Source organism: Homo sapiens, chromosome 18 (genome assembly GCF_000001405.40).
Source record: "Homo sapiens chromosome 18, GRCh38.p14 Primary Assembly".
Classification (NCBI taxonomy): Eukaryota; Metazoa; Chordata; class Mammalia; order Primates; family Hominidae; genus Homo; species Homo sapiens.
The window spans coordinates 7831988-7856709 of record NC_000018.10 but is presented as its reverse complement, the minus strand read 5'-3'; the positions used below and the strand labels follow the sequence as shown (position 1 = coordinate 7856709).

General features: G+C 39.1%; 1 protein-coding gene across 26 annotated transcripts in view; it reads right to left on the bottom strand.

Moving 5' to 3' along the window:
- Positions 1-24722, bottom strand: part of PTPRM (protein tyrosine phosphatase receptor type M) — an 839541-nt gene that overhangs the window by 550147 nt on the left and 264672 nt on the right. The window lies entirely within an intron of this gene.

Sequence of the window (24722 nt, the reverse complement as noted above, 5' to 3'; positions counted from 1 at the left end):
TGCAGTGGCATGATCATGGCTCACCACAGCCTAGACCTCCTGGGCTCAAGTGATACTCTTGCCTCAGCCTCCAGAGTAGGTGGGACCATAGACATGTGCCACCACATCCAGGTAGTTTTCTTTTTTTTTTTTCTGCAAAGACAGGGTCTCACTATGTTGCCAACATTGGTCTTGAACTCCTGGGCTCAAGCAATCCTCCTGTCTCAGCCCTCCGTGCTGGGATTATAGGCATGAGCCATGGCACCCGGCCTGCTGTCCTTTTCAACTGGTCTAATGTGGGTATCAATAAACAAAAGTAGAGACGGGTGACTAGGTAAAATTTATGCAGACATGGGCATTACTCAAAACATTTTTTAATTTCCTCTGTTCAAACTGCTATCATAGTTGCATTCCATGTCTATGAATATGTATGTATAAAGTGTGACTATGCCTTGTTTATAAATCTTTGCAATCAAGACAGGTAACTATGGTTTTCAAGGACAGCATGATATAAGCAAGCAAAGATAAGAACAAAACAGGCTTCAGAAGCCTCTTCCATTCCCATGGAAAATAGAAGGGAATCTAGAATGCTGGATCATTAACTTCACTAATTACAAATCAGATATGGCTCAATGTTTTATAGGAAGGAGATGAAAAAGTCTAGTCCTTGTTGGGCCTTTTTCACATTGAATTATCTCATAATTAAACCAAGCTGATGAGCAAGTGTTATCATACCCATTTTCCAGAAGCTGAGAAAAAGCAACTTGTCCCAGATGACTGTTTGATTCCCAGGCACCTTCTGCTTTTTCTACTGTGACCTACTTGCTGTGGGATACTATTTTCAGCCACATTCCTGACAACGTCAAACATCTGAATTATGCCATTAATTCTCCTTACTCTGAATCTGTGTTCACAAAGATACACAAATGTCTCTCCATGTAGTTCATGTGCTAGCCAGAGGAAACAGTGTCTTCTCAGATGGAGGGCTCTATTTTTCCATTGCCAAATAATAAACTGGAATTTCATTTCATCTAAGTCTTTTGGGAGCTTAGTTACCAAGAAGCTCATCCACACTCCTTGTACTGACAAAAAGCTTACTTAGTTCTCACAAACTGCAAGGTGAGTTCAGTGCTATTAGTTCCATTTAACAAATGAAGAATTAAGATTTAGTAGAGGGTGGAAATGGAATTCAAAGGAAGGTCAGTTTCTGAGTCTTTGCAAATAGGATGGTACCACAGCCTTCTTTCTTCTTCCTTCTTTGTGTAGGTGGCATGTTCCATGGAAGTCACAAAGAGAAGGAGCCAAAAGCAGCTTTGTGGTGGGGAACAATCCCATCAGATAGAGGAGTGCTAAGTGGAGATGGGAATGAGGCACTTCCCAAGCCACAAGGCCCCCTGAGCCACAGGCCCATGCTGGTGTCTTTATGTGAGACCATGTCTCCTTAATCACTACATGCCAGTATGTCACATAATGTCTGGAATACTTCTCAGTCACACCCAGCTTTAAGTGGATACCCCCCTGCACAGCATTCTAATAATAACAATGTAAGAGTGTAGGTACACAGAAGGTTAGCAAGCAGCTGTTCTCCTCCACCAGGGGAGAAGGAGAAGAAAACACCTACATTATAGCATGAGTCACTCAAAATAGATATATTCAAGAATATCCTCATAGTAAATAGAGCGGTAAATTCTCCCCTGGAAGCCTTTAAATATAAAATGTTTATCTGCCTGGGGCGGTTGCTTGGCATTCTCATTTCTGAGGGTAGGAGATGCTACCTAACCTTCAAGGATATGCAGTAAAATGATAACTTATTTATAATTATTTGCTTGGAAACAAATCTGTCAAAGATCAAAAGTCTAGGTCGGCTGGATGAAGCAATAAGCAGTGAAGCTTCTCTTCCATACCCTTTATATAACAATGCATTTACACAGAAAACTTCTAGGTCATTAAAAATCCATTTTTAAAAACATATATCAGTTGTAAAAAAAAAAAAAAAAAACTCCTAACATTTCAAAAGTTTAAAAAGTAAAAATTAAGTCTTCCACTCTCTCAACCCTTTAATTTCATGCCTCAGAGGTGATCAACTGCTAACAATCTTGTGTGTGCACTTTCAGATACAAGATCCATCTTTAAATAGTATTTTAAGGTTAGGGAGCAAGCCAAAGAATTTCTGTTCTGCTACCTGCATTTTCAAGTACCTGCCAGTATCTTATACTACAAACTTTCCATCTGTAATGGAGTTTCAAGTAAAATGAAATTAGGCTCCATTTCATTCCACACTAAATTTTTCTGACAATCCCTGTCAAGATTTTACATAGAAAATTGACTTGATTCTTACATAAGTTAAGAACCTTTGCAGAAGTGTAAAGGGGTAATATACTAGATCCTCATTATTTCTGCTTTAGCTAAGAGAGGTAAGAAGTATGAGGTCAGAATTCCAAGTTCAGAGAACTCTTTCCCTTGTAGGCTCTTATTTCTTCTACATTTCAGCAATAAGAATCAGAGGTAACATGATAGAAGAAAGACAATTACTGGAAAATGGTAGACAACCACTTCTTCAAAAGCAACTATGTCCATCATTTCCTTTAGCTGAAGGAATTATTTTCCTTCATTCTCTTATGGTACATAAAAACTAATATTGCTGTTTAAATTTTCTGTTTTGTGAAACTTCAGGGGGAAATCCTGAAATGCATTCTAACAAATGGCCAATTCTGCAACTCTCAATTCAGCAGTCTAGGTCCAACAGATACAGAGAATTTTATGGCTCATTTTCTCTCCAACACCTGCTCTCATTAGCTCAGCTTCTTTGAATGAAAAGACAACCAGACTGAAAATATAATTCCACTGACTAACAATTTAGAAAATCAGTTTTCATTGAAGTTCAAAGCTGTAAACCTGATTAGAAAAAACTGCTCCCTGATTGAAGCTGTTTATCTTGGTGGACAACAGCAGTTCCAAAGAGAATCAGCTTGGTATAGAATATTATTTCAAGCTCTTTCAAGAATAGGTTGTGTTCACATTCTATTCCCCCTTTCCAAAGGCACAAGTATGTCTCTACCACTTCTAATCAATGGAGATGCTCTTAATAGCCAACAAATAACTGTTTGAGAAGAAGAGAAGATTCAGAAATCCAGTGCAATTTTCCTGATGCTCACATTTTTGATGCATGAGTGAAATACCAAAGAACAAGGCAAGGTGAGATTCTTACTCTTCCTGGTATGCTTTCATTTTTCCAGGTACTTCTGAAGCCACTGTACTCTGGGGTAAGACTTCTGCTAACAGCAGAGAAACAAACAGCCTTACTACCCATTCCAGACTTTACCTGAAGCTCCCAAGGGAGGACACCTAGCACCAACTCCACCTGCAAAAGGGAGACCAAGTCTCTTCTCTCCTACTTCAAGCTGAGCCCTACATTTACACTTCCTCAACTAAGTAACTCACATAAGGATAACAGAAAACACCAACCTCCTTTGAAAGGGATTGTGGAAAGAAATGACATGGTCTGAATTTGAAATCTGCAAAAAGAAGGAATCAGTATCAATATTTTTCCAATGTCCATACAGAACATTAGAACATTATCTGTTCTTTCTGACTTTAGAACATTCTATTCTTTGAAGTCAAACCACTAAAATATTAGGCAACATGATGTCTTTTACATATTTGAGATTATGCTGTAAGGTAGAAAACATTTAAAAGGGTGGTATTTTCCGTTTATATTGAACCTCTTATCAGTGTAAAGTTTCCTATTTTTGGATATTAAGTTTCTTGCCTAAAGTCAACTTTTTAACAGTTTAGTTCAGCTATGTCAGCTTTTCTTTTGTTTAGGCTATGTAACTATGTATTATTTATTTTTTATTTTTTGATTGGTTGGTTGATTGACAGGGTCTCTCTCTGGCTGGAGTACAGTGGTGTGATCATAGTTCAGTGCAGCCTCGAACTCCCAGGCTTATGGGCTCAAGCAATCCTCCCACCTCTGCATTCTGAGTAGCTGAAAATACAAGTGCATGCCACCATCCACAGTTGTTTCTTTTCTTTTTTTTATTTTTGAGAGGGAGTCTCGCTCTGTCGCCCAGGCTGGAGTGCAGTGGCACGATCTTGGCTCACTGCAAGCTCCGTCTCCCAGGTTCACATTCTCCTGCCTCAGCCTTCCAAGCAGCTAGAACTACAGGCGCCCGCCACTATGCCCAGCTAATTTTTTTGTATTTTTAGTAGAGATGTGGTTTCACCGTGTTAGCCAGGATGGTCTCGATCTTCTGACCTCATGATCTGCCAGTCTCGGCCTCCCAAAGTTGTTTCTTTTCTAAAAAAAATTTTTTTGTAGAGACAGGATCCAGCTTTGTTGCCCAGGATGGTCTTGAACTCCTGGCCTCTAGCGATCCTCCCACCTCGGCCTCCTAAAACACTGGAATTACAAGTATGAGCTACCATGCCCAGCTGATATAACCTTTTATTGCATCCTTTCTATATCTTCATATTTATGTCTCTTGCAAGCAGCAAACAGACATTTTCCTATCCTTTTTTATCTGATCTAACAATCTTTGCCTTTGAAATAATTTTATGCATATTTACTATAATTCATATATTTGGGTTTGAGCTCTCTATTGAGCTGTGTTCTTTGTTTATCTCCCCTTTACTGCTCTCTTCTAGATTGGTGTTTTTATTATTATAATTTCCATGCCAGTAGCTTGTTCTTTACATATCCCTTCTCTATTCTTTTTGTGATTGCTGTAGAGATTACAATATGGCTCCCTAAATTACTGAAGTTCAATATCAGTTTGTACATATGCCATATCCTGAAAATCTCAAGAAACTTAAAACACTAACCCCATTCTCTTTTTCTTGAGTTAACAAGCTATTGCTGTCACATATTTTAAATCTCTATGTGAGACCCAAAAAACCATTATTACTTAGAATTTTTACAGTCAATTTTTATTCAGATTTACCTCCAGCAATACTCCTTGCCACCGCTCCTTATTCCCTGCACGATCATGCTTTACCTAGGATCATTTTCTTTTGCCAAAAGAACTCCTTTTAGTGTTTCCTTTGGTGCAATTCTGCTGGTAATTAATTGCCTCAGTTTTTTTTTTTGTTTTTTTGTTTGTTGTTGGTATAAAAATAATTTTATTTCTCCTTCATTAGAAGTAGAATTCTGGGTTGGTGGATATTTCCTTTCTGTACCTTGCAGATGTCAATCCACTGTCTTGTAGCTTCCATTATTTCTGCTGAGAGGCTGCTTTCAGTCTTATATTGCTCCTTTGAAGGTGGAATGTCTTTCTTCTCTGGCTGCTTTTAAGACTTTCTCTTGTCTTTGGTTCCCAGCAGTTTGATGACAGCATATATAAGTTTTCTTTGTGTTTATCACATTTGGGTCCATAACTCTTCTTTACATCTGTGGCTTGATGTCAGTTTTGGAAAACCTCCAGTGACTATCTACTAAAATATTGCTTCAATTCCTCTGCCTTTTGACTTTCCTGAAGATACTCCAATTATGTATGCTAGACCTGCCATGTCATACAGCTTGTACATTCTTTCTGGTGTTTTCCGTTCTTTTGTTCTTCTCTGTATATCCAGTTAAATACTTTTTTCTGTAGAAATTTTGGTTAATTTATTAGCTCTCAGCTGTGTAAAATCTTCTCTTAAACCAACTCACTAGGTTTTAACATAGATTTTCATTCTAGAATCTCTTTTCACTTTTTAACAGAATTAGTTCTCTATGAAATTATTCCATTTGTCATTCAATTCTCTAAATATTTTAATCATTGTTATATTAAACTCCTTCAACCCATGTTATATTGAAGTTAAATAACTCTAGTATCTGGATCTCCTAAGAGTTCCTATTTGTATACTTTTTGTGCTACTGATTTTCAGTTAAGTGCTATGTTTTGGGGTACCTGGTTATTTTTAATTGAATAACACTGGAAATAAAAACTTGTAGAGAAAATCTGAGGCTACAGTTAATGTTACTTTCATCCAGAGTGGATTCACTTTTGCAGCTAGCAGAGGCACAGGCTGGGAACAGATTACTTCTTTCTAGTGCTTGCATGATCAGAAGCTTGGCTTCAGTCACTGTGAGAAATCACTTCTCAGATTCACTCTTATTCCTACAGTGAAACCCTTTGAGGTCCCAATAAAAGCTTGAGCTATTTTCCAGAGCTCCTCCTCCTTAGCAAAATATGAATTTCACAGCTCTTTGAGTTTTCCAAAAACTCCACTCAGCTTTTCAGCTTCCCAGATGAGACTTTTAATTCAGCAAATGCCTGAATGGGAAAAGTTGCTCCTTTTCTGGGTTACCTTCTCCCTGGAATATTGGCCCCACAAATTCTTGCTATCTTGTAGATCTCAATACTTTCAAATTGATATCCCTCCCCACTTCCAGATTTTCTATTTGTTCTAAATGGAGAATGGTCTGAAACAAGCACATTAACCATTACTGAAAACAGAATTACTAGACTGTTATTTAAAAGCTCAAGAACAAAGCCCAGAATCTTAAGGCACTATTTCATTTTCTCCCAAATAACATATATCTTCAAATACACCTTGGGACAAAATTGTTGTAAACATGCATATACAATATAAGTTCTTATTCAAGACTGACATATTGGTACATGAATCACCCACATCTGAAGATCACCTAAGTTCAAATCTTGGCTGTTAGACTCTGGACAAGTTACTCAATCTGTGCATCCATTTCATGATTGTAAAACAGGGATAGTTTTACTACCAATGTCATAGGTGTCTTTGAGGAAATAAATAAAACACATGAATGTGTTTAGGAAAGTTAACATGTTACAAATACATGTTAGCAAACTATTATGATTACTAGTATTAAAATAAATGTCAACGTAAGTAGCATCTTACATACCATGCTGTTTGGAAGATAGTTATGTGTCTTATACTGGTGGTTTTTCTGGAGTTGCTCACTTCTGGTGACTGCCTCCCCCTCTCATATGTTGTTCTCAACCTTTGCTAAGTAAAGACACATCTCACTGCTAATTTCTGCAGCACAACTGGTCCATTCTTTTAAGTTATTTCTGCATAGTTTTCAACAGCTCCTTATTATTTTAAAGTATTTCCAAAAAGTATACATATCATAGCTGCAAAGAAACATATTAACAGACAGCCCAATTCCAATCATTTCATTTAAACTGAAAGACATATGTTTAAAAAGTGCCTCACTGTTAGTACTGGCATCCCCAGAAAAAGACATTTACTCCTCATTCCCCACTTAAGAATTGGAGCTAGAGTTAACATCTATTTTTTAGAGATCCACTTTCATCTGAATTTTCCAGCTATACTTTATCTCTACAACTCTAAAAGAGACCCATCTAGGATTCATTCTCTTTGCTAAAGATTGCCAGGGCAGGGAATGAGCACAGGGTATAGGAAGGAGCCATGTGGAGAAGTCATTAAGCCACACACCAGCCTTCTCCAGGAGAAAAACACTTTCTTGATAACCTGAAACATTCTGAATCCCCAATGAAACTTGAGACATTTTACCTGCAGTCATAGACATAGGAATTTAACCCAAAGTGAAATGAGCAAAACATCACAGTTTGGCCGCTGCATGAAAATCCATTTGATAGGTGAGGGGAAAGCCAAAATCATTCTGGGTGCAATATATTCTACCAAAAAAAATTAACGAGGCAGATGCCATCTCAGATCAAGCCAAATTTGCTATGCGTTCCCCTGTGGCAGGGGAGAGGAAAAGAACCAAGAACTTTCAAATTCCTAAATCAGAATCAAAGCTCAGAGATATCTAGTATTTTGTTTATATGAAAATTTACCACATTTTCAGTGAAAGCTATTTAACTTTCCAAAGTTAATGTCCAACTTTATACATTAAATTACCAACATTTTAAATGAAAATTTAAAAAAAACTTCATTTTAGAAACAGTGGCTTACTCTCACTGTGTAAAGTAGAAATTTCCCAAAGCAAATTTTATTTTATTTTTAAAATTTTTGTCTTTCAAGGCAGTATTTTGGTCTGTCACACAGGCTGGAGTACAGTGGTGTGACACTAGTTTACTACAGCCTTAAACTCTCGGACTCAAGCAATCCTCCTGTCCCAGCTTCCTGAGTAGCTGGGACTACAGGCATTCCTGGCTAATTTTTTTTTTTTTAAGTAGAGACAGGGTTTCACCGTGTTGCACAGTCTGGTCTCAAATTCCTGGGCTCAAGTGGTCCTCCTGCCTCAGCCTCCCAAAATTGGGATTACAGGCTTGAGCCACCAGCCTCAGCCACAAAATTTATTTTTAAGCAATTCCTTGTAATTCAGAACTTAATGAAAATGAAGACACTAAATGACAGCAAAGCACATTTTTTTCATGAAATATTGGGGTTGGCCTATTCTTGCATAAGTTTTATTAGCAACATGACAACCAGCATGGCTGAGCAAGCAATTTTCATACTGTTTTATTTGACTACAGAAAGACAAAATCTCTTACAGCTGCCTGGCCAATCTCAACTCCAAAATGTTCAACTTATTTAAGTAAGTATACAAATAAAAGCCTTAACATTATGATTTCAGTCCAGCAGACTATTAGGCAATACCTCCCATAGGCAGCAAGGATACACAGTCTGGTGGGGAGGACAGTGAAGGGGGAGACCAACCCAGATAAAAGGAGGTAAATGCAATGTGACTATGGGCAGGTCTATGTCCACATATTTTGAAATGTAAATACATTTGGGTGCGAATTCAGACTCATTAAGTTTGATAGGAAGATTTCCTCTAGTTTTGCTTTGCCCATTTCTCCCCTGAAACAGCTCTCTACACAGTAGTACTCATTCTTCCTCTTCTGTGACAGAAAATACCGGCTGTGTGCTTAGTGTCCACTCCCTTGAGGGGGCCTCTCTGATGGCATAGCGCCTGGGTCAGCTCATCAATCAAGACAAGCAGATGCCACCAGCTGGCAAAGGAGAATTCTCCACCCTTGGTAACAGTGAATACATCATTTGGGTTTGGATGGGTGACCCTCTCTATAAGATGTGTAATATAGATGCTGAGAGAGAGTGGGAAGGTCCTTCCTTTTTAATCTTTAGTTGTAGGGGGATAAGCTTGAGCCTGTCATCTCTTATGTTATAGGAGAAACTCTGCCTCAGAATGAAGCCACAGCACAGTGAGAAGTGAGCTGAGCTCTGGAAAGGGAGACAGAGCCCAGTTGTCATTGAGCTGCTGGATCCAGCTATGCCTGAAACCAAACTCTATTCCTCCACTCCCAACTACACAAGCCAATAAATCCCCATTTATGATTAAGCTAGATTTGTGGACAGGCATGGGGGCTCACACCTGTAATCCCAATACTTTAGGAGGCTGAGGCGGGTGGATTGCTTAAGCCCAGGAGTTTGAGACCAGCCTGGGCAACATGGTTAAAACCTGTCTCTACCAAAAATACAAAAATTAGCCAGGTGTGGTGGCACATGCCTGTAGTCACGGCTACGCAGGAGGCTGAGGTGGGAGAATCGATTGAGCTTGGGTGGCTGAGGCTGCAGTGTGCTGTGACTGCACCACAGCACTCCAGGCTGGGTGTCAAAGTGATACTCTGTCAAAAAAAAAAAAAAGCCAGATTTGTATTTCAGAAACTACAACCAAGCAGCTAGACTAGAATACCCCTCTAAATCCAACACTACACTCTGCTCTTTGTCAGTGAAGAGGCAACTACTAGATAACTAACTGCAGATGAAATTCTAAGGGACCTTGCAAAGATTCCTAGTTTAAACTACTTCCTTGAATATAAGTTGCTATATCCTTCAAAATACAGTGATAGTCTGAAATAGGGAGAGAAATCAAATAAAGGGTAGATCATCCAAGAAGTCTCAGAGATAAGATAAAATACAGTAGAATAAGAAGGTGGGCAAGAACACTGAAGAGGAAGAGACATCAGAAACCCTGGTCTGATTAGGTATCAGAATTAGTAGCCAGCAGTAACTACTCAGAATAGCTGAGCAGAGCTCCGAAGACAAGCAGGTAGGCAAAACAGTGCCTTAGGACAGGAAAGCAGGCAAGAGTCAGTTCACTAAGCATTTAGTGAGTGCCCTCCAGGGCTGTGCGCTTCCCTAGGCAAATCAGGTGAAATTAATAAAACATGGCCTAGCCCTCCAATTCATTGGGGAACCCAGGAACACAAACCAATAACAATCCTGTAAGGATAACAACCATGCTGTGCATAATTCCCGGCTACAGAAGCACGGGAGAGGGCCACCAGGCCCAGATGAAGGATGAGGCAATAACAAGTACAGCATAGGACACCAGTTGCCACAGCAACACCCTAACATCCTAGAGAAAAACAGTTCTTACTCGTTATAGCAAATACAGGAAAACAGTCAAAAGAGTTTGAAGTTACCTATGATTCTTTTGGAACAGAATTCATTGTTTTATTCACTGTACAGTAATATAAACATTTTCCTTTATTTAGAAACAAAAACAAATCAACCAAAAACACCACTGCTGTATGTAATGGGGGATCTAGCACCATCACATACAAATAATTTGTCTTGCCTTCTTCCACCTCATTCTATTTCAGGCGTGTGAGTGGACACTCTGATGTACATCCCTCCTCTGCTTTAAGACTAAAAAGCTTATGGTCCCAGCTGCAGCAAACACTACTGGCCATCAGCTGTCATCCTCTAGAATTGCCTTGAATGAAGAGAGTGTTTTTGCCCGAGGTAATCCGCATCAAATGACTGATGAACACTGGGGTCTAAAGACTCAATCTCCTTGCCCTGACTCAGGACAACTCTGAAAGAACAGCCAAGCTTCAGCTGTTTCAAATAGGGTCAGCAGAGGCCTTTGCTGAGCCTGTATTACAGGATTGGGCAGAGGGGGAAGTAAGGCTGCTTCCTTCCCTTCCCTCCACTAGACACTGACCCCAAGAGCAACCCTTAAGAGTCATCCTGTATGCTAATCTGCACCTTGGAGTTGGCTTCCCAGGGAATCCCACCTGCAAAACTGCACTATTATGTATGGACACGGAGGACCACCACAGAGACTCTGGAAAGAAAGATAAGGAAGTCTTATTTCTAAATTTCCTCCATTGAAATACGAAGGGCAAAAATAAAAAGACACTGTCAAACTTAGAATAACAGGGAATGTTGTCCATAAATGTGAAAAGGAGAAATCAACAGCAACAGAAAAACATTTCTAATCAGACTGTTTCATTTGTCCTATAGGATATTTAGGTTTCAGTGTATCGAAAAATTTTTACAATGTAAAATATTTGATCATAAGAAAATCCTGCAGGAACTTTGCGGTCATGAAAGAGTGAGATGCTTTTCACATAAATTATTACTAGTATGGTTACACTGCTTCACAAAAAAAGTGACTGAACACACAAGCTAACTTATATAAAGCATAAGTTGACGTGGACATTTGTCAGGTTTTCATGAACTTCTCAAAGATATCATAAATTAATCCATCTTAGCAAATGCAAGCTCATGAAATGCAACAATTTTGAACACAATTAAAGCCATATTCTCATTCTTGTTCAGAAAAAAAGTAATTTTGGAATGCATACTTTTTCTAGTTTAATACTTACCTATGATAGATCATGAATTCCTCCCAGAAAACAACTCTTAAAAGCTGAGGGTACACTATAAAAGCCCTTAATAAAATCTCAGAAACGTGTTAAGTCAGTGCCTCAGAGAACTGTTCATTCAGATAAAAGGCTAAGAATCTTACGGACATACCTTATAGATCCTGTCTATTAACAGTACTGTCTATAAAAACCTTAACAGGGTAATCCCTCAGCAGAATCTCAAGGGATTCTCATTCATCAAAGAATCTCATTCATCAAAGAGATTGATGAATGTGAATTTTGTCTAACAAAATGAACCTCAGTAAGATTCACAGGAGATCCATAGGATTTTTAAGAGAATTAGTCTGACACTGCCATTAGAAACACTGCCAGTTCAGACCAAAATGGACAGAGACACTTACAATGAAAATAGACCTTTGGACTACCAAGAGGCTAAAATAAAAGTACTACAGGCAGAAATCAGACTTGGAAAGCTACCCAATGAAACTGGCCACTTCTTAGGGAAGAGGAGGAGTGACTCAGACAGAAGTCAAGAATTATGGAGAATCATTCCTAGGCAGTAGGACTGAGACCTTGTCAAGTAATTACATCACATTCCAGGTGGTTTTTCAGAGTTTCTATGAACCAGTGACTCGTGCATGCCTTCTGTTTCCACCCTTCCTGAACAGGAGGCTCTACATGAAAGTTCTCCTCTGCCCGTCCTACCATTGCATGTTGAGGGGGTGGGAGGGAGATAACTTGTCTCTTTAGTTCACAGGTCTTCAGACTAAGATCTATATTTGAGAAGCTGTGCAAATCCACAATGAAAATATCTCTTCCATATTTGAACCTGATTTAAGGGCTGAGATCCTAGACTTTGATCTGACATCCCAATGAGGATAAGATTTATAGATCTTAAGGGGAAGAAGTGAGTGTATTTTACATGTAGGAAGCATATGATGTGAATTCTTATGGTAAGAGGATACTGACATTGTATTTCGCAATCATGGCCACACTTATATCCTGTTACACATGCTCTTCTTAAAAAGTTACAGACACTCCTCTACTGAGTGGTGGGGTCTACATTCCCTTCACATGAACTTGGTGGGGTCTTTACAACTTTGGGCTAAGTGCTGCTGCATGATATCCAAGGCTGGGTCATGAACGGCAGTGCAGCAGTGACCACCTGCCCCCTCAGGGTGCTTGCCATTGGAATCAAGTCATCATGTTGTGAGGAATCCCAGACCACATGAAGAGGCCATATGTATGTTATCCCAGCAGCAGCCCCAGGTGGTCCACACCTGACAGTCAACATTAATTTCTAGACTTGTGAGTGAACAAGCCTTCAGATGATTCCAGGCCCTGGTACTTGAGACCTCTAGCTGAAGCCCCACACATGATGGAACAGAGATAATCCATTCCCATTGTGTCCTATCTGAATGTCAGACAACAGAAACTGAGAGGCATAACAATGATTGTTGTTTTGAGCCATGCAGCAATAGATGACAAATACATATGTTATATAGTGCCTCAAAATACTAATGTTATACAAAAATTCCATATTCCAGTGTAACATGAAAATGAAAGTTGCAATGTTGTTCATGCAACAGCCCATTCAAGCAGGTTTGGGAAATGCTAGCCTAGAGTATCACATCTGAATTAGCACTAACTCATGATGACAATGATAATATATTAGTAGTCTGGGAGTAGGTCTTCCCCTAAAACACCTATCAGAAATTCTAAAACTGCACAGAAATATTCCTTCACATGCCCTGAATAAACTATCTATAAGGGCAATTAAAGAATGCAGAATCTTGACCAGAAATGCCTGTGGTCCCCTGTAATAGTGATACAAAATAATCACAAAACTTTGCTTCAGGGTCCTAAGTTAAAGAAAACAGCCAGCTGCTTAACAATGGAGACTCTCAGGAGAGACAGGGCCAGTTGAATGAAAAATCATAAAAGCTTTCTCTTGATGTTGTTTTGTTTCTGTTTTTAAGAGGCAATAAAGCTTAACAGTAAAACATGTGAGCCCTGGAGTCCAAAAATCTAGTTGCAAATCTCATGTTTGCCAGTTATAAGCTGTGTGACTTTAGCTGAGTTAACTGACCTCTCTGTGCTTTTATCTGTAAAATGGAGATTGTATAAGCCAGGTTTCTCCAGAGGAACAGAATCAATAGTAGATATATGAGAAACATAAAGGCACTACATGAATCTCCAGAGGAACCTGGCTCATATAATCTCTCTCTCTCTCTCTCTCTCTCTCTCTCTCTATATATATATATATATACACACACACACACACACACATATGAGAAACATATATATATATACACACGAGAAACATATATATATATATGTTTCTCTCTCTCTCTCTCTATATATATATATACATATATATATACACACACACACACATAAACATATGTACAGAAAGCCAGAGAGAGAGATTGATTGAGATTTTAAGAAACTGTCTCATGTAAGTGGTGGGGCTGGCAAGTCCAAATTAAGCAGGCTGGAAACTCAGGCAGGGTTTCTATGTTACAATCTTGAAAATTCCTTCTTCCTTAGGAAAACTCTGTCTCTTTTCTAAAAGCTTTCAATTGATTGAATGAGGCTCACCCATATTATGGTGGGTAATTTGCTTTACTCAAAGTCTACTTATCTAAATGTTAATCTCAACTCAAGCCCACTGATTTAAATGGTTAATCTCATCTAAAAATATCTTCACGGCAACGTCTGGACTTCTGTTTGACCAAACAACTAGGCACCACTACCTGGCCAAGTGGACACAAATTAACCATCATAAGGATAAGAAAATAGTACCTACACTTCATTGGTTAGTTGGGTGGCTTGAGTTAACGCCCATAGATGCTTAGCATAATGCCAGGCAATGAAAAAATGATCAAAGCATGTTAGTTATTATCGGGGTGACAACCATTTTGCCCAGAACAGCCCTGGCTTATACCTATTGTTCTCACATAATTGTTCATATCACCCTCGTGTCCCTTCATTATTACTTACAAACTAACCTTATAAACCAGAGGTTCATTTAGCCTCATATTTTTCCTATCTTTATGTGAAAGTGGGTCTAAAAGAAAAAGGAAGCAGACATGCTTGGTGTTTCTGGGAACATGGATCTAAGTCATCAACTTCTTCAGCTCCAGGTGCCCTCACCTGCTCAAGGAACTGGACCTACAGTCACACTCCTTCATACTAAGTAAGCCTCTGAAAAAGCCAAAGTCAACAAGAAAAGCTAAAGAGAGCAGCAAAGAAAAAAAAATAATAACATAAATTGTCATATTTATATCTATGAAGAATAAAAATTTCAAAATATAAGTAGGTTGTTTTGTTCTAGCACTTTTACACACCCCACTTCCAAGCCAAGTTTCATCCTATAAAATTTCTGAACCTACAGATCGTAATGGCATTGTACAGAATGCTCAAATCACCTACAAGGGGCCACTCATAGCTTCAGTAGTGTAAGGCATTTCATTTTCTAGTTAACTGACTAGTTTCACGATTATGCTAATGTCAGAGTATTTAAGCAACCGTGGTGCCAGATAACCTGTACATACTCTCTGAATAATCAAGTGCTAATCATTTTTCACATTAAGAAATGATTTGGGCCAGGCGTGGTGGCTCACGCCTGTAATCCCAGCACTTTGGGAGGCTGAGGCGGGTGGATCACGAAGTCAGGAGATCAAGACCATCCTGGCAAACATGGTGAAAACCCGTCTCTACTAAAAATATACAAAAAAACTAGCCTGGCGTGGTGGCAGGTGCCTGTAGTCCCAGCTACTCAGCAGGCTGAGGCAGGAGAATGGCGTGAACCCAGGAGGCGGAGCTTGCAGTAAGCTGAGATCAGGCCACTGCACTCTAGCCTGGGTGACAGAGCGAGACTCCGTCTCAAAAAAAAAAAAAAAAAAAAAAAAAAAAGAAATGATTTGAGCCAAAAATGTCCAAACCTGTCTGACCTGAAGTTAGAAATACAACTATTCTATTCCTATAAGGAAGCAATATGCAAAAGCAAAGCTCCAGAACAGCCCCTGTATCTTTTCTGAATTACACATTTTTGGCTATATTATGATCACTTACAATTCACCATGGGCTCAACATGGCTAGAAATTCCTTGTATGAGATCTGCTTTTCAGTTCAAGGAACTTAAAATGATGCTATGTGACTATAAAATAATGAGCCTGATTTTTGCACATAGCTTCTCCAGTTACTTCTATTGTAGTACTTTACAAATTACATCTTGTCCTTTCATCTCAGGTCAATTTGGAACACACACAAAAAATAAGTGAAGCCTGTCTTACACTACCAAACTTCCACTAAAATTTATGTTAGTTTTAATATAACAAACACATTGACCAAAGCATCTTGGATTTTCAAGGGCATGTCAAAGCAAAATAGTAGCAGCTTCTGAAGTTATAACAAAACAAATTCTACAGCCAACTGTTGTACCATATGTTTCCAATGGCTTTTATTCTACATAAAGCCAATTCATCCTTTGAACAAAACACAACATCACAGAGGCTAGTCACTGACGGCACATTTCTGATCATTTGTCAATTTCCTGCTACAGCAAGTTCTGGAGTCTGAACAGGAAGTTGAATCTTGCCTGAAAATAACAGACACACTGCCAATGGCTTTTATAGCACAGACCCTGCCAGAATGCTAAGAAATCCAGATCAGGAAAGTTACACTGTCAGTTTTTGGAGGCAGATCTATCAAGTGATTCTCATAGCACCCAGGTATGATAGCAAACAAGTGCTTCAAAATACGATACCTTCAGAGGAAGAATTTGCCTAATCACCTTATGTCTATATGTGTCCTCCAATAAGTAATTTAGTTCTCAACTAATCACACATATACCTTTTTTCTTGAAAAAATATCTAGAATAAAATTTAAAACTCAGACAGGGGGCAGAGAAGGATGGTCTTTCCTGCAAGGACACCAATTAACACCTATCTACACTAAAAAAGCACCTTCTTACGAACCAAAAATCAGGTGAGCACACACAGTAACTGGTTTTAACTTATCTCTGAAAGAGGCACTGAAGAGGTGGGAAAAACAGTCTTGAATTGCCAAGGACACCACCCCTCCCCCATCACCCTGCCCTCCCCCCCCACCTCCACCCCACCCCCCACCCCACCCCATACACACATATCAGCAACATGGTGCAGAGAGTATTTCTGTGTGCTGGGGAGAGGGGAGCACAGCAGCCATGAGGCACTAAACTCAGTGCTGCCTTGTTACAGCAGAAAACAAAACCAGAGCAAACTCAACTGATGCCCACCCATGAAGGGAGCATTTAAACCAGCCCTAGGAAGAGGGGAATCACCAGTCCCAACAGTCCGAACTTGAACTCCCACATGCCTCTCAAGCAAGTTAAAGTACTCTGGAACCCAAACTTGAAAGGCAGTCTAGGCCACAAGGACTGGAACTCGTAGGTGAGGCCTAGTGCTGAACTGGGCCCAGAGCCAGTGGACTTGGTGGCATGTAACCCACTGAGACATCCCCAAGGGCAGCTAAAGAAGTATTGGCATCATTCCTACCCTAAGCCCAAGCTCCACAGCTTGTGGCTCCAACAGAGACCCCATCTCTCTGCTTGGGCAGAGGTGGGGGAAGTCTGGGGAGGACTTTATCTTACATCTATAATACTAGCTCAGCCACAGCAGGATAGGGCAATGCTCAGAATCATGAGGCCCCCTTTCCAGCTTCTAGCTCCCAGATGACATTGCTAGACACACCCTGGGCCAGAAGGGAACCTACTGCCTTGAAGTGAAGGACCTAGTCCTGGCAGAATTCATCACCTGCTGACTGAGAGTCCAAGGGTTCTGAATAGCCAGCAGGGATGCTGAGGTGCTATGTCAAGGGCCTTGGTGAGCCTCTGAGACTTGCTGGCTTCTGGTGAGACTCAGCACATTCCCAGCTGTGGTGGCTATACGAGGCAAGACTCCTTCCACCTGAGAAAAGCAGAGGGAAAAAATGAAGAGGGCTTTGTCTTGCACCCTAGGTACCACCTCGGGCACAGTGGGGTAGAGCACCAAGTGGGCATTTGGGGGTCCCTGGTTCCAGGACTTGACTCTTGGATGGCATTTCTGGACATGTCCTGTGCCAGAGGGGAGCATACTGCTATGAAGGGTGAGTCCAGAAATGCTATCCAAGAGTCAAGGCAGCATTCACCACAGGCTGACTTAGGAGCCCTTTGGGCCAGAAGGGAGCTCTGGTGGTAGTCTGGCAGTACTCCCTGTGGGCCCATGGTGGCTGTGGCGATGGAATGAGGCACCTCTGCCTTTGGAAAGGGGAGGGAAGAGTGGGAATGACCACAACTTGTGGTTTGAGTGCCAGCTCAGCCACAGGACAACAGAACACCAGGTAAACTTCTAAGGTTTTTGACTCAAATTCCATGCACCTGGGACAGCACCTTTGGCCCTACCTGGGCCTAGGGGAGCTCTCCACCCTGCAGGGAAGGAGGCAGGCCTGACTGGCTTTGCCATCTGCTGACTGTAGAGCCCCAAGGCCTTGAGTGAAATTAGGTGATAGCCAGGGAGTTCTTACAACAGGCCCTGGGAAAGACCCAGTGCTGTACAGGCTTCAGGTTTGACCCAGAGCAATTCTAGAGATAGTGGGCACAGGGGTGCTTGTGTCTCCACCCTCAGCTCCAGGTGGCTTAGAACAAAGACAGAGACTCTGTTTTTTGGGAGATAAATTAAGGGAAGAGAACAAGAGTCTCTCTACCTGGTAATCCAGAGAATTCTTCCAGATCTTGTCCAAGACCACTAAAGTGGTACCTCTATGATATCATTTGGCTGTGTCCTCACCCAAATCTCATCTTGAATCGTAGTTCCCATAATCCCCACATGTCGTGGGAGGGTCCTGGGGGGAGGTAATTAAAACAGGACAGTTACCCCATCCTGCTTTTCTCATGATAGTGAGTGAGTTCTCCCAAAATCTGATGGTTTCATAAAGGACTTTTCCCCCTTTGCTCAGCACTTCTCTCTCCTGCTGCCATGTGAAGAAGGATGTGTTTGCTTCCCCTTCCACCATAACTGTAAGTTTCCTGAGGCCTCCCCAGCCATGTGTACCTGTGAGTCAATGAAACCTCTTTATAAATTACCCAGTCTCGGGCAGTTCTTCACAGCAGCCTGAGAAGAGACTAATACACTCCATGAGTCTTCTCTTCAGGAACCACAGAGTTACTGGGATCAGCGTGCCCCCTAATGCAGATACAGCTTAGACCATAACACCCAAGTCCTTTAGAATATCTGGAAAACCTTGCCAGTGTACAAACAAGCCCAGACTGAGAAGACTACAGTAAAAACCTAACTCTTCCATGCCCGGATACAGATGAGCGTCTACAAGTATCAAGACCATCCAGGAAAATATGACCTCACCAAATGAACTAAATAAGTCACCAGGGACCAATTCTGAAATATGTGACCTTTCAGAGAATTAAAAATAGCTGTGTTGGCCAGGTGCAGTGGCTCATGCCTGTAATCCTAGCACTTTGGGAGGCTGAGGAGGGTGGATCACCTGAGGTCAGGAGTTCACCTAAATGGTGAAACCCTGTCTCTACTAAAAATACAAAAATTAGCCAGGTGTGGTGGCATGCGCCTGTAGTCCCAGGTACTCAGGAGGCTGAGGCAAGAGAATCACTTGAACCTCGGAGGTGGAGGCTGCAGTGAGCTGAGATCACACCACTGCACTCCAGCATGGGCAACAGAGTGAGACTCTGACTCAAAAAAAAAATGTGTTTTGAGTTTGAAGAAACTCAAAGAAATTAAAGATAACACAGAGAAGGAATTCAGAATTCTATCAGACAAATTTAACAAAAAGACTGAAATAATTAAAAAGTATCAATCAGTATTTCTAGAGCTGAAAAACTCAATTAGCATACTGAAGAATGTATGAGTCATTTGATAGTAGAATAGGTCAGGCAGAAGAAACAACCAATGAGTTTGAAGACCAGCTATTTGAAAATACACAGTCAGAGGAAACAAAAGAAAAAGGAATTTTAAAAAATGAAGCACACCTATAGGAACTAGAAAATAGCCTCAAAAAGGCAAATCTAAGAGTTATTGGACTTAAAAAGGAGTTGCTGGCCTTTAAAGAAGAGGTAGAGAAAGAGACCGGGGTAGAAAGTTTATTCAAAGGGAAAATAACAGAGAACTTCTCAAACTTAGAGAAAGATATCACTATCCAAGAACAAGAAGGCTATAGAACAAAAAGCAGATTTAACCCAAAGACTACCTCAAGGCATTTAATAATCAAACTCCCAAAGGTCGAGGATAAAGGATCCTAAAAGCAGCAAGAAAAAAGAAACAAACAACATACAATGGAGTTCCAATACATCTGGCAGCAAACTTTTCAGTGGAAACCCCACAGGCCAGCAGCAAGTAGCATGACATATTTGAAGTGCTGAAGGAAAAAAAACTTTTATCCTAGAAGAATATGTCTGGAAAAAAATATTCTTCAAACATGAAGGGGAATAAAGACTATCATAGACAAACAAAAATTGAGGGATTTCATCAACAGCAGACCTGTCCTACAAGAAATGTTAAAGGGAGTACCTCGATTAGAAAGAAAAGGATGTTAATGAGCAATATATCATCTGAAGCTCACTTGTAATAGTAAGTACACAGAAAATCACAGAATATAACACTATAACTGTGGTGTGTAAACTACTCTTATATTTAGTAGAAAGAATAAACAATGAACTTATGTTAATTAGAAAGAATTAACAATGAACCAATAAAAAAACTATAACAACTTTTCAAGACATAGTGCAAGAAGATATAAACAGAAACTACAAAATATTAAAGAGGCACAGAGCATTATTCGTTTTCTTTTTGCTGGTTTGTTTGTTTATGCAGTGTTGTTATCAGCTTAAAATAATGAGTTATACAATAGTATTTGCAACCCTGATGGCAACTTTAAATCAAAAAACATACAATGTTTACACACACACAAAAAAGCCAGACACTAAATGGTATCACCACAGAAAATCAACTTCACTAAAAGAAAGACAGGAAGAAAAGAAATAAGAGAAGATCACAAAACAACCAGAAAACAAATAACAAAATGGCAGGAGTAAGTCCTTACTTATCAATAACATTGAATGTAAAGGACTAAACTCTCCAATCAAAAGACAAAGAGTGACGACATTAATTTAAATAACAAGACTCAATAATCTGTTGCCTACAAGAAACATACTTCAGGCATAAAGACACAGGTAAACTAAAAATAAAGGGATGGAAAAAGATATTCCAGGCACATAGAAACTGAAAGAGAGCAGGAGGAGCTCTATGGAGACACAATAGCTTTCAAGATAAAAAACAAAACAAAACAAAACAAAACAAAACAAAAAAAACTTTAAGAGACAAAGAAGGTCACTATATAATGATAAACGGGTCAATTTAGCAAGAGGCTATAATGATTGTAAATATATATGGGCCCAACATTGAAGTACCCAGATATATAAAGAAAATATTATTAGCGCTAAAGAGAGATAGAGACCCCAATACAAGAATAGCTGGAGATATCAACATCCCACTTTCAGTATTTGTTGACAGAAAATCAACAAAGAAACATTGAACTTATTCTGCACCATAGACCAAATGAACCTGGTAGATATTTACAGAACATTTCATCCAAAGGCTGCAGAATACACATTCTTTTCCTCAGCACATGGATCATTCTCAAGGAGAGACCATATGTTAGGTCACAAAAGTCCTAAAACATTCAAACAAATATAAATAATACCAAGCATCTTCCCTGACCACAATGGGATAAAAAAGAAATCAATAACAAGAGGAATTTTGGAAGCTATACAAATACATGGAAATTAAACAAAATGTTTCTGAATGACCAGTGGGTCAATGAAGAAATTAAGAAGGAAATTAAAAAATTTATTGAAACAAATGACAATGAAAACACAACATTTAAAACCTATGGGATACAGCAAAAGCACTATTAAGAGGAAAGTTTAGAGCTATAAGTGCCTACAACAAAAAAAAAAAAAAAGAAAAATGTCAAACGAATAATTTAAAAGCAAGAACAAACCAAACCCAAGTTTAGTAGAATAAATAACAAAAATCAGAGAAGAAATAAATGACACTGAAATAAAGAATATCAAAGATCACTGAACCAAAAAGTTGTTTTTTTGAAAAGTTAAACAGACAAACATTTAGCCAGACTAAAAAAAAAAAAAAAAAAAAAAGATCCAAATAAATAACATCAAACATGAAAAAGGAGACATTACAACTGATACTACAGAAATTCAAAAAACCATTAGTGGCTATTATGAGCAACTATATGCCAATAAATTGGAAAATCTAGAAGAAACGAACAAATCCCTAAACACATAAAAGCTACCAAGATTGAACCACGAAGAAATTCAAAACTTGAACAGACCAATAACGAGTAATGGGATTGAAGTTGTAATAAAAAGCCTTATAGTAAAGAAAATGCCAGGACCTGATGATGGCTTCACTGCTGAATTCTAACGAACATTTAAATATGAACTAATACCAATCCTACTCAAACTACTCTGAAAAACAGAGGAGGATGGAGTACTTCCAAACTCATTCTTTCAGGTCAGTATGACTGTGATATCAAAACCAGACATCTTTGAACTGGTTTTGGTAACAGGGTCATACTGACCTGAAAGAATGAGTCTGGAAGTGTGTGTGTGTGTGTGTGTGTGTGTGTGTGTGTGTGTATACTTGTATATTGGCCTGTATTTTATATATACATACTTATATTTACATATACATACTTATATTTACATATACATATATTATATTTATATATACATATGTATATATAAAATACAGGCCAATATTTCTGATGAATATTGAAGCAACAATCCTCAACAAAATACTAGCAAACTGAATTCAACAATACATTAAAAAGATCATTCATCATGACCAAGTGGGCTTTATCCATGGGATGCAAGGATGGTTCAGCATATGAAAATCGATGTGATACATCATATCAACAAAATGAAAGACAAAAACCATACGATCATTTCAATTGATGCTAAAAAGTATTTGGTAAAATTAACAGCCCTTCATGATAAAAATCATAGAAAAATCTGAGTACAGAAGGAACATACCTTAACATAGTAAAAGCAATATATAACAGACCCACAGCTAGTATCATATTAAAGATCTAGAACATGACAAGAACTCCCTCTTTCCCCACTGTTATTGATGATAGTACTGGAAGTCCTAGCTAGAACAATCAGGCAAGAGAACTGAAATTAAGCACATCCAAATTGGAAAGGAAGAAGTCAAATTATCCTTCTGCAGATGATAGATATATTTAGAAAAACCTAAAGATGCTATCCAAAACCTATTAGAACTCATAAATTCAGTAAAGTTGCAGGACACAAAATCAACCTACAAAAATCAATATGCATTGCTTTTGTTGTTGTTGTTGTTGTTGTTGTTGTTGTTGTTGTTGTTTTTCTTTCTGAGACAGAGTCTCGCTCTTGTGGACCAGGCTGGAGTGCCATGGTGAGATCTCGGCTCACTGTAACCTCCACCTCCTGGGTTCAAGTGATTCTCCTACCTCAGCCTCCCGAGTAGCTGGGATTATAGGCACCTGCCACCATGCCCGGCTAATTTTTGTATTTTTAGTAGAGACAGAGTTTCACCATATTGGCCATGCTGGTCTCAAACTCCTGACCTCAGGTGATCTGCCCACGTTGGCCTCACAAAGTGCTGGGATTACAGGCATGGGCCACTGCACCTGGCCAAAAATCAATATGCATTCCTATACACCAAGAGTGAATAATCTGTAAAAGAAATAAAAAAGTAACCCCATTTACAATAGCCAAAAATGAAATTAAATACCTAGGAATTAACCTAACCAAAAAGTGAAAGATCTCTACAATGAAAACTATAAAACCCTGTTGAAGAAATTGAAGAGGACACCAAAAAATTAAAAAATATTCCATGTTCATGGATTAGAAGAATCAATATTGTTAAAATGTCCACACTACCCAAGTAATCTACAGATTCAATGCAAACCTTATCAAAACACCAATGACATTGTTCACAGCAACAAAAAAAAATCCTAAAATGTATATGGAACCCCAAAAGACCCAGAATAGTCAAAGCTATCCTAAGCAAAAAGAACAAAACTGGAGGAAGCACATTACCTGACTTCAAATTATACTACAGAGCTATAGTAACCAAAAGAACATGGTACTGGCATAAAAAAAGACACAGAGATGAATGGAACAGAATAGAGAACCCAGAAACAAATCCACAGACCTACAGTATACTCATTTTTGACAAAGGTGCCAAGAACATATAATGGGTAAAAGACAATCTCTTCAATAAATGGTGTTGGGAAAAGTGGATATTCATATGTAGAAGAATGTAACTAGACCCCTAACTCTCACCATATACAAAAATCAAATCAAAATGGATTAAAGACTTCAATCTAAGACTGCAAACAATAGAACTACTACAATAAAACATCAGAAGAGCTCGCCAGGACATTGGTCTGGGCAAATATTTCTGGAGTAATACCTCACAAGTACCAGCAACCAAAAGCCAAAATGGACAAATGGGACTACATCAAGTTAAAAAGCTTCTGCACAGCAAAGGAAATAATCAACCATATGAAGAGACAACCTGCAGAATCGGAAATATTTGCAAACTACCCATCTCACAAGGGGCTAATAACCAGAATATATAAGAAGTGCAAACAACTCTATAGGAAAAATATCTAATAAGTAAAATGGCAAAATATTTTAATAGACACGTCTCAAAAGAAGACATACAAGTGGCAAACAGGCATATGAAAAGGTGTTCAATATCACTGGTCATCAGAGATATGCAAATCAAAACTACAATGAGATATCATCTCGCCCCAGTTAAAACGGCTTATATCCAAAAGACAGGCAATAACAAATGCTGGCAAGGATATGGAGAAAAGGGAACCTTCATATACAGTTGGTGGAAATGTAAATTAGTACTAGCACTTCGGAGAACAGTTTGAAGGTTCCTCGAAAAACTAAAATTACAGCTACCATAGGATCCAGCAATCCCACTGCACATATATATCCAAAAGCAAAGAAATCAGCATATGGAAGAGATAGCTGCACTCCCATGTTTGTTGCAGCACTCCTGACAACAGCCAAAATTTGGAAGCAACATAAGTGTCCATCAACAGAAGGATGGATAAGGAAAACGTGGTACTTATACACAA